We start from the raw sequence: 14,824 nt of genomic DNA on the forward strand, positions 1-14,824 counted from the left end.
CTTTTATAAAGACAGGTTTTTCTTGGTGTCCGGTAGGCTCCCCTAGCTGGGCCAGCAGAGGGAGGTGGGTGCAGAGGATGGTGGGGAGGGCAGTGGGAGGAAAGGGAGACAGACAAGAGCAAGGGCTCCTGCTGGAGACTGGGTTCCTCCCAGGTATTAGGCCTAGCATGATGGGGTTTGTTCGGGGAGCTCATATCAGGGAACAGGAGCAGGGCTGAGAGAGTGAAGTGGGGAGAAGGGCAAGGTCTTCCACAGTGCTTCCTCAGGCTGGCCGCCACTGTGGGCTGCCGGATCCCATCCACTGGGCACTGAGGAGCTGGGGGGGACTTGCCTCTCAGAGTGGTCTGCCTGAGGACAGAAGGAGGAGCCGTCATCCAGTACATGCCTTCCCTTGGTCCAGGGCTGCCACACAGAGTCATTCCCAGGCTGTGTGGGCACCATGCGTGTGTCATAGAAAAGGTGCCCACAGGTACCTCCTGCAGGAAGCTTGTTGCTGCCACAGTGGCTGGAGTAAAAGGTGGGATGAGAAGCCGTGACGTTGAGTTCAAGCAGAGAGCTCTGTGATATGACGGGAACAAGAAAGGCTTCTGCACTGTTCATGAACTTGGTTGTAGCTTGTGGGTAACCCATGTCTTTCTATCTGGGGGAGGGAACATTGATCACCTTCAATTCCTGGGTTTCTGCTAGATGACCTGATTCCGGGGGAAGGTACCAGCTTTGGGAGTCAAGAAAAGCAACTCACCTAACGTATCTATCTGAGTCTTAGTCTTCTCACCTGTAAAATGGGAATAATAATTTATTTCCTATCTCCTGGGTATTGTGAGTTAATAGGGAATTACAATAATAAATTTCCAAAGGAAATGCCTTGCAGTGTGTAAATCCCTCTGCAGGTGTGAAGTGAAACTAATAGTGAAACACAGACGCATGTGAACTGTCGGCAGTTATGACAGCTGGCCCCTTGAGGGTTCTAGGTGCCTAGAGACTGTCTGGCACTTTTATATGCATAATATCATCTCATCCTCCTTGCAGCTCCTATGGCAGTCACTGTTATTATTCCCATTTACAGATGAGGACACAGAAACTCAGAGAGAGCAAGGGCCTTGCCCTGGGCCCTGCAGGAAGTGGTATTGGGAGGCTCCACGCTGCCTGTCTGCATTGCAGAAGCTCAGCCCCTTTCCTGCCCCAAATCTCTCACCACTGCTTGGTTAAACACGGTGTTACCTGGCTGTGTAGCACTGTGGCAAGCGGTCTACTAATCCTGATTGGATTCTAGGAATACCAGCAATGGGATGGCTGCCACCTGCTGACAGGGAGAATGGAGGAGGCCAAGGTCAAGCCCAGGGGCAGCCTGCCTTGGTCCTAAGTGTGAGCGGCTGGTGGAGATGAGCCAGGAGGAGGCAGAAGCTGGTAAGGAGGCTGGTTTTGCCTAGTACAAGGATTGTTACCAGGGCTCCATGAATAGGCTTGGGGCAGTGTCTCAGCCTCTCGAATGGCCTGTAAATGTATGGGCCCATGGGTGCATATGCTTTTTTCTAGGAAGCAGGTTCATCATTTTTATTAGTGTCATAATAATCCATGACCCTGAAGTTTGAACAGCAGTTCTCCATTGGGCCACCCTGGCATAAATGCAAGTGGTACAGGGCCCCTTGGATATCTCTGTACACATTGAGACCTGGACAACTTGTCCTTCTGAATGGCTTAAATCCCAAGAATTTTGCCTCTTTACGTGGCTGCTTTAATTTTATGTTTTTACCTTTTTGCTACTATTACTTATGAGCCAGAATTAGGAATTTTCCAAGAACTGGAGGGAGGGAAAATGTGTCCCAGCTTCATCACCCACGTGCTCTCTTCCACCGCCTTTACTTTTGTCTGCATTTTCTCCAAAAGGGTTAATGTTCTTATCAAATTCAGTTTTCTTTCTTTCACTAATGCGTATTCATGCTCTTTCAAGCAAGCAAGCAAATGTGCTTCTATTAGGCAATCAGTTCTGCAGATTACATTTTTTTAGTTGCTAGGCTAGAAAAATAAAAATAACCTAATAAGAAAGTGTTTATGTTGGAAGTAGGTATTCCAAAAAGAATAGTTCTTTTAAAAATAATTCCCCAAACAACTCTTAACAGGTCTTGATTCAAAGAGGTTTTGTTTTCTTTTTTTTTTCTAGCGTGAAAAGCAATATACATAAGCCAGATCCTTTCCTTGGGCAGCGTGGTTAATACTAGCACACATCACACCTGGTATTTGACTTCTCAGAAACTTGCTAAAAACCTTGTGTGGCCATAATCCCTGACTTGATTAACTGTTATTGAGTGTGTTCTGCAAAGTAACAGGAGCTTTAGATGTCTCCTGAAAAGAAAAGCAGAACAGACACAGATTGCCGAAATGAAACAGCAACACAGTGATGATATATTTTCACAACTTGAAATACTAAAAACGTGGTCAAAAGGATCCATCCGAGTCAGAGATTGGGCTCTGTCTGTGGCCACAGCGGAAGCCAGGTGCTGTGGGCTCACCACCCTGACCTTGGATGGATGGCAAGACTTGCCACCCCCACCCTCCTACTGAGGAGTCCCTTGGAGAAATCAATGGCAAAACTGGCCCCAAGCATGGAAAGGGGCTGCAGTTCTAAGGTGGACCGGGGCAGAGCTTGCTTTCTGTCTTCTGAGAAGTGGCTGGGGTAAGACCAAGTCTAGTGGACCTCTTGATGAGTAGATATCTGCCCTGCCCTTAAAAAGCCAACAGCAAACTACAGTGTAGGCACGGTTGCCAGATAAAATACAGACTGCCTAATTAAAATTGAATCTCAGATGAACAAGGAATAGTTTTTCAGTATAAGTATGTTCCATGCAGGTAGATGTCATGCATATTTCTGATATTGCTTGGGATATTCTTATCCTAAGAAGTGATGTGTGGTTTCCCTGAGATTGAAACTTAGCTGAGCATCCTGTATTTTTATTTGCTAAGCCTGGATACTCTAGCTCAGGGCAAAGTAGGCGCGGACAGGCTGTGTTGGCTCACCTTTCTGGTCAGGGCTATAGATTGTGCTCTCAGGTTCTAGGACTTCATGTAGCTGGAATGATGCAGTATGCCTTCTTTTGTGTCTTGCTTCTTTTACTTGGTATATTATTTTGAGATTCATCCCTGTTGCTGCCTCTATTGTAGTTTGTTCCTTTTTATTATTGAGTAGTATTCTACTGTAAGAAAATACTACAGTTTATTATCACGTCTGGATGGGCCTTTGGGTTGTTTCCAGTTCTTGTCTATTGTGAATAATACTTCTATGAGTTTTGATAGACACATTTGTGTGTGTGTGTGTGTCTCTCTCTCTCTCTCTCTCTTTGTGTAAACATTATTTTCATTTTTCTTTTCTTTTTTTTTTTTTTTTTTGTTTTTTAGACAGAGTCTCACTCTGTCACCCAGGCTGGAGTGCAGTGGTGCGATCTCGGCTCACTGGAACCTCTGCCTCCTGGGTTCAAGCAATTCTCCTGCCTCAGCCTCCCTAGCAGCTGGGATTACAGGTGTTCACTACCACGCCTGGCTAGTTTTTGTATTTTTAGTAGAGGTAGGGTTTCACCATGTTGCCCTGGCTGGTCTCGAACTCCTAACCTCAAGTGATCCACCTGCCTCAGCCTCCCAAAATGCTAGGATTATAGGCATGAGCATCCGCCTTGGCCTCCCAAAGTGCTGGAATTACAGGCATGAGCCACCACATCCAGCCATTATTTTCATTTTTCTTGGGTAAATACCTAATAGTATAATTGCTGGATCTTATATTGTATTAGTCTGTTCTCATGATGCTAATAAAGACATTTCTGAGACTGGGTAATTTATAAAGGAAAGAGATTTAACTGACTCACAGTTCTACATGGCTGGAGAGGCCTTACAATCATGGAGGAAGGCAAAGGAGATGCAAAGGGACGTCTTACATGGCAACAGGCAAGAGAGCATGTGCAGGGGAACTCCCATTTATAAAACCATCAGATCTCATGAGATTTATTCACTACCATGAGAACAGAATGGGGAAAACTGCTCCCATGATTCAACTATCTCCACCTTGCCCCGTCCTTGACACAGGAGGATTATTACATTTCAAGGTGAGATTTGGGTGGGGACACAGCCAACTGTATCATATAGTAAGTGTACATTTAACTTTATAGGAAACTGCAAAACAGTTTTCCAAAATGGCTGTACCATTTTACACTGTGGCCAGCAATATGTGAGTATTCCACTTGTTCCTCATTCTTGCCAACACTCGACGTTGTCTGTGTTTTTATTTAGTTATTGTAGTAATTGTAAAATAGTGTCTAAGAATTGTGGTTCTAATTTGTGTTTCTCTGATGATAATTCAGTTGAAAATCTTTTCATTTGCTTAATGACCATTCATGTATGTAAATAAATTTTGTGTTCGTCTTTTGTCTGTTTTTTTTTTTGTTAGGTTATGTGTCTTCTTATTGAGTTATACGGGTTCTTTCTATATTCTGGACACCAGCCCTTTGCAGATATCTTTCTCCAGTCTCTGACTTGCCTCTTCATTTTTATAGGTGTCTTTTGAAAAGCAGCAGGTTTTACTTTGATTAACTCAAATTTGTCATTTTTTACATTAATGTTTAGTGTTTTTCATGTTCTAAGAAATCTTCCTGCCTCAAGGTCACAGAACATTTATTTCCTTATATAAGTTATATAATTTAATCTTTTACATTTACATCTAGGATCCATTTGGAATGAATTTAATGTGTGGTGCAAAATAAGGGTTGAGGTTCATTTTTTTCCTCACGTGGTTATCCACATTTTTCCTCCATTTACTGAAGAGACCACCCTTTCCTCATTGATCGCATTGGTGTCTTTGTGGGAAATTGATCAATCATGTATGTGTGTGCCTGTTTCTAGGGTCTATCCTGCTCCATGAATTTGCACATCTGTCTTTACACAATAGCACACAGTCGTGATTATTGTAACTTTATAGTAAGTATTTAAATCACTTGTACCCAAATACCTGTTATAGATTACTCCACTTTCTGGCAGAATCCAAGCCAAGACAACTGGGGACATCTTACTGCACAGCTCCTTGCTAGCATCTCTACATTTTTACATTGGTACCTGTAGTGGCTTGGATCTGTTTCTGACCCTGTCTCTGGGCTAATCTATAAAAAAGCATTGACTGGCTATCCTTACCTGATATCACTGTAGAAAACATGTATTTTCCCTTCCTCTCTGCAATAATCGTATAAGATTATAAAAGTATAAGTTGTTGAAAGTTCTTAAAAATAAAGCTTACTTTGCATTTCTAATTTCTTAACTTTCAGTCTTTTTCTACTTTTGCTCCAAAAATGTTACCACAACAGACAAATGCCAGTGGTTATGTGTTAATACCAGGAATTTCAGCCTTTTTTAAATACCAAAGAACGTGTGGTTCATGAAACATCCCTCGTCTGACACACTCCCATAGCCTTATTCAAGTTTCTAAAGAATTCCCCTGTCCAAGAACTGGGATTCCACCTCTTTCTCTCCTTCTCAGAAATGTGCATCTAAGTCAAAATGATTGAGTCATATTATTATAAAGAAAATCTCCCAAGGGTCAGTACTTCTTATTTGGTACTTTATTGAGAGTAACGGGTTGCCTGTGTCCTAGCACAGACCTGCTGCTCCGTGTTTTGTTTGACTTAGCACAGAACCACGTACACAGCAGGGACCACGTACACTTAACGCCTGTATAGTGGGTATAAAAATGATATGGTTTGGCTGTGTCCCCACCCAAATCTCACCTTGAATTGTAATAATCCCAATGTCAAGGGTGGGGCCAGGTGGAGATAATTGAATTATGGTGGTAGTTTACTCCATACTGTTCTCCTGGTAGTGAATAAGTCTCATAAGATCTGATGGTTTTATAAATGGGAGTTCCCCTGCACATGCTCTGTTGTCTGCCACCACGTAAGATGTGACTTTGCTCCTCTTTCACCTTCTGCCATGATTGTGAGGCCTCTCCAGCCATGTGGAACTGTGAGTCTATTAAACCTCTTTTTTTTTTCCTTATAAATTACACAGTCTTGAGTATGTCTTTATTAGCAGCATGAGAACGAACTAAAACAACACATAAACAATCTACAAATTCAGCTGGATGCCACCATAATGCTCTGTATGCTACTGCAAGTTAATACAGTATGCTCAGTCAAGTCTGTCTACAGCAGGGAGATGTGCCTCCACCTTAGTGATGGACCTCTTGGTGATGAAAATTTAGGGCCTAACAAGAGACAGATTGCACTGTCTCTTCCCAAGCCCATGTTCAGTGACATCATGTTGATATTTTCCAATCAGCCAAGATGGGAGTTTTTACGCTATAGACATTGGCAAGAGCTAAAAATTAAAGCTTTTTTCCCCCTCAAGGAGCAGATTGTTAAACACCAGCACATCACTGGACATGACCTTTCTGCTGGTAGGGAGGCAAGGTAGCAGTTGACTTTTCATAATGTGCTGTTGCTGTGTGGGAAGAGGAAGGGCTCATCCTGACTGAGGCAGTCATTTTAGGGACCGACATCTCCCTGCTGTAGACAGACTTGCCTGGGGACACTGTATTAATTTGCAATATCATGTAGAGCATTATGATGGAATCCAGCTAAGAACAACCTCATAACCAGTCTCCAGAGGTCCGTCCAGGAGACGGCGTGGCCAGTGGTGGGCGCCCTGGGCTGTATGTCCCCATCTGTGTCTGCCTTTGTGCCACTCATTTACACCAGCAATTGCAGGAGACTGGGACCCCCTCTCTTCAAAATTACTACCCCTCTTTATGTAGAGGCACACTGCCTAAAAAAACAAGTTGGAAAATTTTCCAAATAGCTTTGACTCAATAATTATCCGACAGCATGTGGACTATCTCTTGGGTCTTTTATACCATCAAACCAAATTGGCAGCATGAATCTTATAATCCTATTTACACATGTTTTGGGTTAGGAAGGAGTGGTACAGATTTTGTTCTAAACAGCATCCATTAGTTACTACTTGTACAATACATTCTATATGCGGGCCCTGTGATAAATGTCAAGGCTACAAAGAATGTGGCTCTTGCCCTCCAGGACTACAAATTCATTGTGGAAGACTGGGAAATAAAGCAATGACAGTTGGGTGCAATCAATGCTTTACCGAACTTAGGAAGAAATCAGGGAATCTTCCCAGGTGAGGTGCTACTTGGACATATATTTTCAAAGCAAATGAGTGAGAGTTATTCTAGCAGACAAGGAAAATGAGGTTGCTTTGGACAGAGAGAGGTGAAGGTGAGAAGGAGACCCACTTGCCTCTGGGGATCTCTCTTGGACTCAGGGGATGTGGATCAGTGGCAGGCACCCATCTGGGAGGATGGGGCTCACGTTTTGTGGACCTGTGGAAATGATATGGAGCAGGATATAAAAGTGGAATCATTTTGCTCAGCTTCAGAGGATCCCCAAGAAAATGACTGCTATGTTCCAAAGCAAAGTTTGAGGCCACTCTGCAGGAGGTGGTGAAGAAAACAGGCAGCTTTATTACTCTTAACCCTTTACCCACACTGAGAGTATAGAAAAAGGCTTGGAGATAAAAAGAAGATTTTGGAGAGAGTTATTGATATGTCGTGAGTCCCAATCCCACCCCCAGGGGAGTGGATGGATAAATGTATACCATGGGTAAAGAGATGAAGCCCTCACCCTCCAGAGTGGGTGCCCAGTCTACAGAAGGCATGGACCGGCAGGGAGGGGTAACTGCAAGTGAAATCGCACATTTTAATGGAGTCACTACGCTGGATGTTTGAACTACTACCTTGGATGGTCACTTGTATTATCTGGAAGTGACCAGAATACTGATGAAATGTGACCTAAATTTCATTCAAGGGCAGGAGAAGATTCAGCATCCAGTGTAAATTTGAAAGATTGATGGGATTCAAAATAAAATTACTATATCGTTATATCCACGAATTGAATTGTGCTTGTTCAATGACATAGTGGTTACAGATATGTGCAATTTTTTCTCCTGGGAGAAGGGTATATATATATATATATATATATATATATATATATATATATATATATATATACACTTTTTTTTTTTTGAGACAGAGTCTTGCTCTGTCACCCAGGCTGGAATGCAGTATGTGATCTCGGCTCACTGCAACCTCTGCCTCCCGGATTCAAGTGATTCTGCTGCCTCAGCCTCCCGAGTAGCTGGAACTACAGGTGCCCACCACCATGCCCGGCTAATTTTTGTATTTTTAGTAGAGATGGGGTTTCACCATATTGGCAAGGCTGGTCTCGAACTCTTGACCTTGTGATCTGCCCTCCTCAGCCTCCCAAAGTGTTGGGATTACAGGCGTGAGCCACCGCGCCCGGAGGGGTTCATATCTTTATAAGGACAAAAAAGGATCCAGGATTCAGAAAGGTTATTACAGCTTCTGTGGATGGGGGGAAGGCATTCAGTTGGGTCAGGGGTCATCGTATGATCAGCTTTGCGTTGTATGCATCATATGCATCGTATGATCAGTGGCTTCCTGTCGGAGCAGGTCGGAGAAAATGACTGCTAGGTCTGGAGGCAGGGAGACCAGTGCCAGGGCTGGGGGGCTGCTGTGCGAGCACAGGCCCTGCAAGGCTGAGGGCTCGTAGCTTGGGTTGGAGAGCTCAGGGCAGGCTGGAGAGATGCCTGAAGGCCTGAGTCGATGGGAATAGGGACGAGCAGATGTTGAAGACGAAGGCAGAATGAAGACGGTCCCCGGGATTCTGGGCTGAGCCCCTGGATGGATGGTGGTCTTGTAACCGAGCTGAGGGAATAAAAGGAAAAGTGGGGTCAGGGGGATAATGACTGGCTCAGACCAGGAATTCGAGGTACCAGGTTTTGTGCTTGGGAGAGAGATGTGGGCTAGATTTGGGAGAAAGTAGAGACACGGAGTGCAGGCAATTGTTTTAGAATCTTAGAAAGTATAACATAATATAGAAGACAGAATATGGAGTTTGTTGGTTTGCTTTTAATTGGGGACACTTGGATATATTTGTAGAAAACTCAGGCCACTAGTTTTCACTCCAAAGAGGAGAACTCTGGTCCACAGGTGGTGGCTGGCAACCAGGGCAGAGCAGAGGTGGGGAAGACACATGGCCCCCAAGGAGCCTGATATCTTGGGGCTGCCGGGCATGCTTGTTCACTATAGTCACTCAGGGTATTCGCCTTCACTGCCCTTGGATTCTGTGGGACACCCCGGGTCCTTTCTGTGCCTTCGTCATCTTTAGAAGCTTCCATGTGGCTGGGAGGGCTTCTGTTTCTAGCAACTGAAGGATGTGAGACAAACGCCCTGACTTCCAGGGGCTCTGTCGCCCAAGGGAGTTTGAGAGTTCGTGCCTGGTGGGCTCACTCACGGGTCTGAAATGCCCCCTCTGCTGGGATCCAGAGCCCTCCTTCTGTCACCCTGCCTAAGAAGACAACACCCAGGCTTTCCGCTTCATTTACCGTCTCAAAGTCACATCACGTAGAAACTCAGGGTTTCTATTTGACATTTCTTCCGCATTTGTGCAGATGTCTGTAGGAAAGACACATGCTACACCCCAGGATCTGGGAGCCAGAGTGCCACAGGCAGCCAATCAATGTTTAGACGATGATGTTCAAGGTATGGCAAGAAGAGTGCACAAAATATTAGGGCTCCGGGGAAGAATGAGTGTATCAAATCGTCAATAAAAGTGTGGCAGACGGACAAAATCAACTTTCAGTGCTGCACTTTACAACTTGGTTATGAAACACTACGATTTCATGGTATATGACACGGAATCTCTTCTATCTGGGGATGTAAAATAAAACCCCTGGGAATATACTTTACAGTTCTTATGGGGAGAGCTCACTGTGTTTTCCAAGCCAAATAAATTTATATTATTAGAAAGAGAAGTCATGTTTATTTATTAAATTATTTGCCTGGTTTAGTGTATCATTGTTGAATTTCACACACCGAAAACATACGGCGTAATGAGAATTGAAAAGCCCCAACTTTAAAGTCTGCGAGAAAGGAAATGAAGTTGTGGACAGCTGTTCTCTGTTTCTCAGCACGACTACAAAGGAGGGGCCACGTTTCACCACTGTAAGTTTTGCTTCCTTTTCAGAGACTCATTGCATGTATTCCTGGAGAAAATACAGGACCACGTTTTGTGAGTTGTGAAGCACCAACGATGCGATGTTTTGCTCCCGTACCAGAATTTTCTTTCTAACGATTCTTGGTCCCAGGAGAAGCTAGATAATTAGCTAAGTTTGTTGAATTTGTGATAGGAAGATGATTTTTTACATCGTTGTAGGCACAATGGGTACTTTGATGACAGGTGTGCCCCTGGGGGAAAAGGACCTCTTTGAGGCCTCCTTCTGGAAGGACGGCTTCTCAGGGCCCACTCACTGACACACACCTCTTGACTTCAGTGATCAATGAAGTTCCCCCTCTGTCTCTCTGAGTCCATCTCTCTCCACAAGGGCAGGGCTAGTTCACATTGTGATTTTTACTACATAGATACTTTTCCACTATAAATTTAATAAAATTTGTTGTCAGTTTTTGGTGGTTATAATGATAAATTAAATTTACAGGTATCAGAGTGTGCTCTGAGATTTAAATTGTAACATCCAAAGATGAGCAGACAGCCAGTCACCGTGGAGAGGGCGCTCAGGCCTGCCAGACGTGACCACCCTCCTGCCTGAAGCTTTACTCACTACAGGAAGAGAGGGTTGGAGAACCTGGGCAGCAGAGAGTGCGCAGAGCACCAGAGGCAAACAGATGTGGGCAGTGCCATCCAGACCCTGCCTGGGGATGGGGAGCCTCGTTCAGGGGACTGGGCGACCCAGCCCACTGGCAGGAAGGGCAAGGAGGCTGTGTTTCCTGTGACCGTTATGCAGGAGGCTCACTTAGCCCACTTCCTTTGCTCTGAATCCACCCCAGTGAAAGCATGTTCTCACTATGTTTTGGCTTCTCTCTAAGAGCTGCCTACAGGGAGAGAAAGGGGCTGGCCTTGGAGGTGGTTGTTCCCACTGTAAATCAATGCAGCATTGGCCCTGTGACTTTTGTCTTCCCCTGAACAGTACATCCTCTCTTGTCGGGCTTCAGCAGCATTGACTCTAGAGTCAGAGAGTTGGAGGTTGGTGGAGACTTCTTATTCCACCTGTCTTAGATGGCATCCATCACCCCTGTCCATAGACACACATTGTCATGATGACAGGTGGTTGTGAGACCTCAGCAATAATGATTCTAGAAACTGCAGAAAACCTAGTACAGTGTGAAGAAGGAAATAAAAGTTGCCCAGAGCCTCTTTATAGAGAGCTAATGACTGTTTACAAATATTATTCTTGTTTTTTTCTTCTTGCTTTTTAACATATTTCAAGTCCTACAGTATAAAAGTGTTAGTATACTTATGGAAGTTCAGGTCCTAACTGAGAAATGTTCTTTAGAGAGGCAAATTTATCTCTAGGCTTATCTGTCAAAGAATGTATATTCTTTATACACAAAAGAATAGGCTCCACAAATATATGTATAAAGTTGGTTTGGATTTACCGACAAGCAGATTATTTTCTTTGTTCACGTTTCCTTCTTGCATATCAGACCATTTTTTTCCTGAGACCATTTTATTCCTTTAAGTAGTGGAACCTTTTGAGAAGTTCCTTTAAGGAAGCTTTGCTGGCAGAAAACTCAATTTTTTGATAGTTAAAATGTTTTTTAAATTTTTGCACTCATTCTTAATAGGTAATTATCCTGGGCTTACAATTCTAGATTGACAGCTGTGATCTTTCATCATGTTAGAGATATGAATCCACTGATTTCTGGCTTCCATTTTTGCAGCTGAAAAGTCATATTTCAATCTAATTGCCTATTCTTTGTGCAGTCTGCCTTTTCTCCAGGCTGCTTTTAAGATCTTCCCTCTTATCTTTCATTCATTTTTTTTTTTTTTACAGCGTATCTGGGTGCTAGCTCTTCCAATGCCTTCTGCCTGAGATTTGTTGTGCTTCCTGAATCTGAGGATTTGTGTCTTTCATCAATTTGGAAAACTCAGAGGAGCCACTTTCCCTGATTGTTGTGTCATCCCATTCTCTGAAGTCTTTCCTTCTGGAATTGCAATTAGACATATCTTCCACATTCCCACTGGCCTTTCCTAGTTTTCATTTCTCCTTCCCATTTCCCATGTCTATGTTTTTTTCTACATTCTAATGTTGCAGTCTGTATCTGATAATTTTAATAACTATAGTTTTACAGGTTTGATCCTGCTGTTTGTTGTTCCTGCTTAATTCTCATAGTATCTTGGGTTTTTTCATGTATTTTATGATTTAATTTTTTTTCTTATGAACTCATGATCAGTGGTATTCAGGGAATGGTTTGAGGCCTAGGTTGAGAATGCCTCTCCCAGAAAGCATGTGTGTTTGTTTCAATCTGGCTACTGCATGAAGGCCTACTTTAAACTGAATTCTTAGCCAAGATATTTTTGGACCACAAAGATGTTATGAAATCAGGCCCTAAACCCACATAAAGTCTGGTATGTTATTTTGAATTCTCAGGGAACATTTTTTCTCCCTCCCACCAGAACCTAGGTTAAGATGGTAAGATTTTCACCATCTCCCTCGTTAATCTTCCCAGGGAGGGTGTGGCATCTTGCAGGGAGGTCTTTGATCTGACTTCTCAGCTTTGTCACCTGCCCCGTCTTTCATGAGCAAACCAATTCAGGAAGAGGACAGCTGAGCAAGGACACTGTAAACCTTACGGGCAAGAGTTATCATTCAACTTAGGAGGAGAGCTCCATGTGACTCTCTAATGGCAGAGACTATGGAGCATTGTTTGAAGAGAGTTGCAGATGTTGACCTTCTCTGACATAACAGCCAATAAAAACTCACATAAGCACAGTTCAGTATTTATTTAATTGTGATTTATACTTACTGGATGAGTTTCTTGCCAACTAGCTTATTAAAAGCTCGTGCACATGCATCTAAAGAGGTCATACGATCATTCTGGAGTGTCATTCCTGATGACAAGCAACAAGGGCGCACATATTTAAAGCTATTCTTACAACTTTAACTTGAGCATCTTTTGGTCGAAAATTGGCATAGTTTAATTAAGTGAAAAACCTTAATTACCTTAGGTCCACCTTGGAAGGAACCTGAGACTGCTTTAATGTGTTACTAAGAACTCATGGTAAACTTTGCTTATCCAATATGAGATAAGCTCTTCTCATTTCCAACAAATTTGAGCAGAGACACTTTTCAGGTCCAGGTCTCTGCCCCTGCCCTCTTCCTGTGTCTTCTCCTCCAGCCCTAGCTCCGACCCTGCAGACCCAAAGGTAGAGTGAGCGGAAAGGGAGCAGCTTCCACCTTTGCCAGCCCCAGCCTGCTCCACGGTCCCTCCTTGGCCTCTGTAAGCCTGCCCATACCCTTTTGTGGAAGCCTACATAGTCTCCCCTGCTGAGGGCTCCATCAGTTCCCTGTCCCTGCCAGCAGGGTAACCTAGGTATCCTGCATTCCTCCTTAATGACCTGAAGGCTCACATCCTCTGGGTCCCCTCACACAGTGAGGTGGCATGTCTGTCTCTCTGAAAGATTAGTCTTCATGAGGCCTCTTGACTAAGTGGTGTGTCTGGTCTACTGGGAGATATGTGGCCAGTAGTTTTTCAAGCGATTTAATTCTTAACTAAATAATAGTGGAGTCAAGATGTTCATTAGGGCAGCACCCTCCTCCCTTGGCTGCACTTCTGGGTGTGAGAACAGTAGTAGGATCATAGTTGGTGCTGGAAGACTTGTGTGTGGTCCGTGTCCCACCCAACCCATGGGTGAAAGGGAACGAGCCACCACGGACCTGCCCTCCATAGCTGTGTCAGGTGCAACTATGGTGGAGCCCTGTACATCCCTGGGAAGTGTATTTTGAAAGTGGACATTATCTGTTTTGGGTTTGGCAGAAGAAAATTGGCTGTGAACTGTCCATCCATTTATTTCTGGAGGACTGATGGGTAAACAGTGTTTACAAATCATCTGTTTCTCTAATGTGACGGAGGGAATTTCTAGCTGTCTGGTGTTTCTGACATCCCCAACTGTGAGGGCCTATGCTAAGGCTGCCTGCTGTGGGCAGGGCACTGTCTGCCCAGGTACCCGGGGCCCTTTTGACAAGGGCTCTTTAAATGCAGGTTCATCAACAGCTCCAGTTCTATTGCCACAGCCAAACTGCAGCAACGTGGATTCCTGTGGGTGCATAGTCTGTTTCCATCCCTAAGGCCATGCGAGGGGCTGGCTCTTCCTGGCCATTCTGCACAGTGAAGGCGGTGTGTGAGGAGAATTCAACAACATCCTTCTTCGTGCCTGCCCCTGGTGTCCACTGGACACGTAATGTGGCAGTATGGCTTTGCAAGACGAGGTCCGCATGGGAGATGTTGGGGGTGGCAGGGTACCCGGCTGCGCACACATCTGCCAGGCCAGTGTGCACGCTGCTCACCTTGGCAAAAGAAAACCTTTCAGTTTCCATTGGTGTAGTTAGGGCTGATGTGTCAACATTCTTCACGTCATCGGGCAGTAAAATACATGCTGATTGATGGCAGCACCTTCTGAGGATATCCAGCTTGTGAGATTACTCTGCTTGGTTTCAGGTAGGTGGTCTGCACCAAGGGTGAGGCTAGGGGTGAGCAGGCCTGAGACTTAGCTTCCGGCAATGTGGGCTCTCAGAGAGCAAATGAATCCAGTCTCCCTCAGTCACCTGGGGACTGACCTGACATCTTGTCGCTGAGCAAGGCTTTGGACAAGGCATGAAACCTCTCGGAGCCTCAGCCCCTCATTGGTAAAATGGGTGTCTTAGTAATTCTCTGCAGGGCTGTCACCAGGGTTCAAAGAGC

At 44.4% G+C, this 14,824-nt stretch overlaps 1 protein-coding gene across 1 annotated transcript in view, besides 5 other annotated features; it reads left to right on the plus strand.

Annotated features, from left to right (window-relative positions):
* Window positions 951–1,170: an enhancer, noted in NCBI's record as "active region_17356". NCBI's record gives its function as "activates an Ori minimal core promoter by ATAC-STARR-seq in GM12878 lymphoblastoid cells {active_cell/tissue: GM12878}" and the evidence as "EXISTENCE:reporter gene assay evidence [ECO:0000049][PMID:35858748]".
* The window catches only part of ACKR3 (atypical chemokine receptor 3), a 45,233-nt gene continuing 31,590 nt past the window's right edge, over window positions 1,182–14,824 (plus strand). The window contains exon 1 of the mRNA XM_005246098.4: window positions 1,182–1,407. The gene's annotated coding sequence lies outside the window, so the exon portion shown is untranslated. The remainder of the gene's footprint in view (window positions 1,408–14,824) is intronic.
* Window positions 2,274–2,323: an enhancer, noted in NCBI's record as "active region_17357". NCBI's record gives its function as "activates an Ori minimal core promoter by ATAC-STARR-seq in GM12878 lymphoblastoid cells {active_cell/tissue: GM12878}" and the evidence as "EXISTENCE:reporter gene assay evidence [ECO:0000049][PMID:35858748]".
* Window positions 9,183–9,312: an enhancer, noted in NCBI's record as "active region_17358". NCBI's record gives its function as "activates an Ori minimal core promoter by ATAC-STARR-seq in GM12878 lymphoblastoid cells {active_cell/tissue: GM12878}" and the evidence as "EXISTENCE:reporter gene assay evidence [ECO:0000049][PMID:35858748]".
* Window positions 10,433–10,482: an enhancer, noted in NCBI's record as "active region_17359". NCBI's record gives its function as "activates an Ori minimal core promoter by ATAC-STARR-seq in GM12878 lymphoblastoid cells {active_cell/tissue: GM12878}" and the evidence as "EXISTENCE:reporter gene assay evidence [ECO:0000049][PMID:35858748]".
* Window positions 14,320–14,819: an enhancer, noted in NCBI's record as "H3K4me1 hESC enhancer chr2:237458903-237459402 (GRCh37/hg19 assembly coordinates)". NCBI's record gives its function as "activates a minimal SCP1, AML or CMV promoter by ChIP-STARR-seq in primed H9 embryonic stem cells {active_cell/tissue: H9 hESC(primed)}" and the evidence as "EXISTENCE:reporter gene assay evidence [ECO:0000049][PMID:30033119]".

Source organism: Homo sapiens, chromosome 2 (genome assembly GCF_000001405.40).
Source record: "Homo sapiens chromosome 2, GRCh38.p14 Primary Assembly".
Classification (NCBI taxonomy): domain Eukaryota; kingdom Metazoa; phylum Chordata; class Mammalia; order Primates; family Hominidae; genus Homo; species Homo sapiens.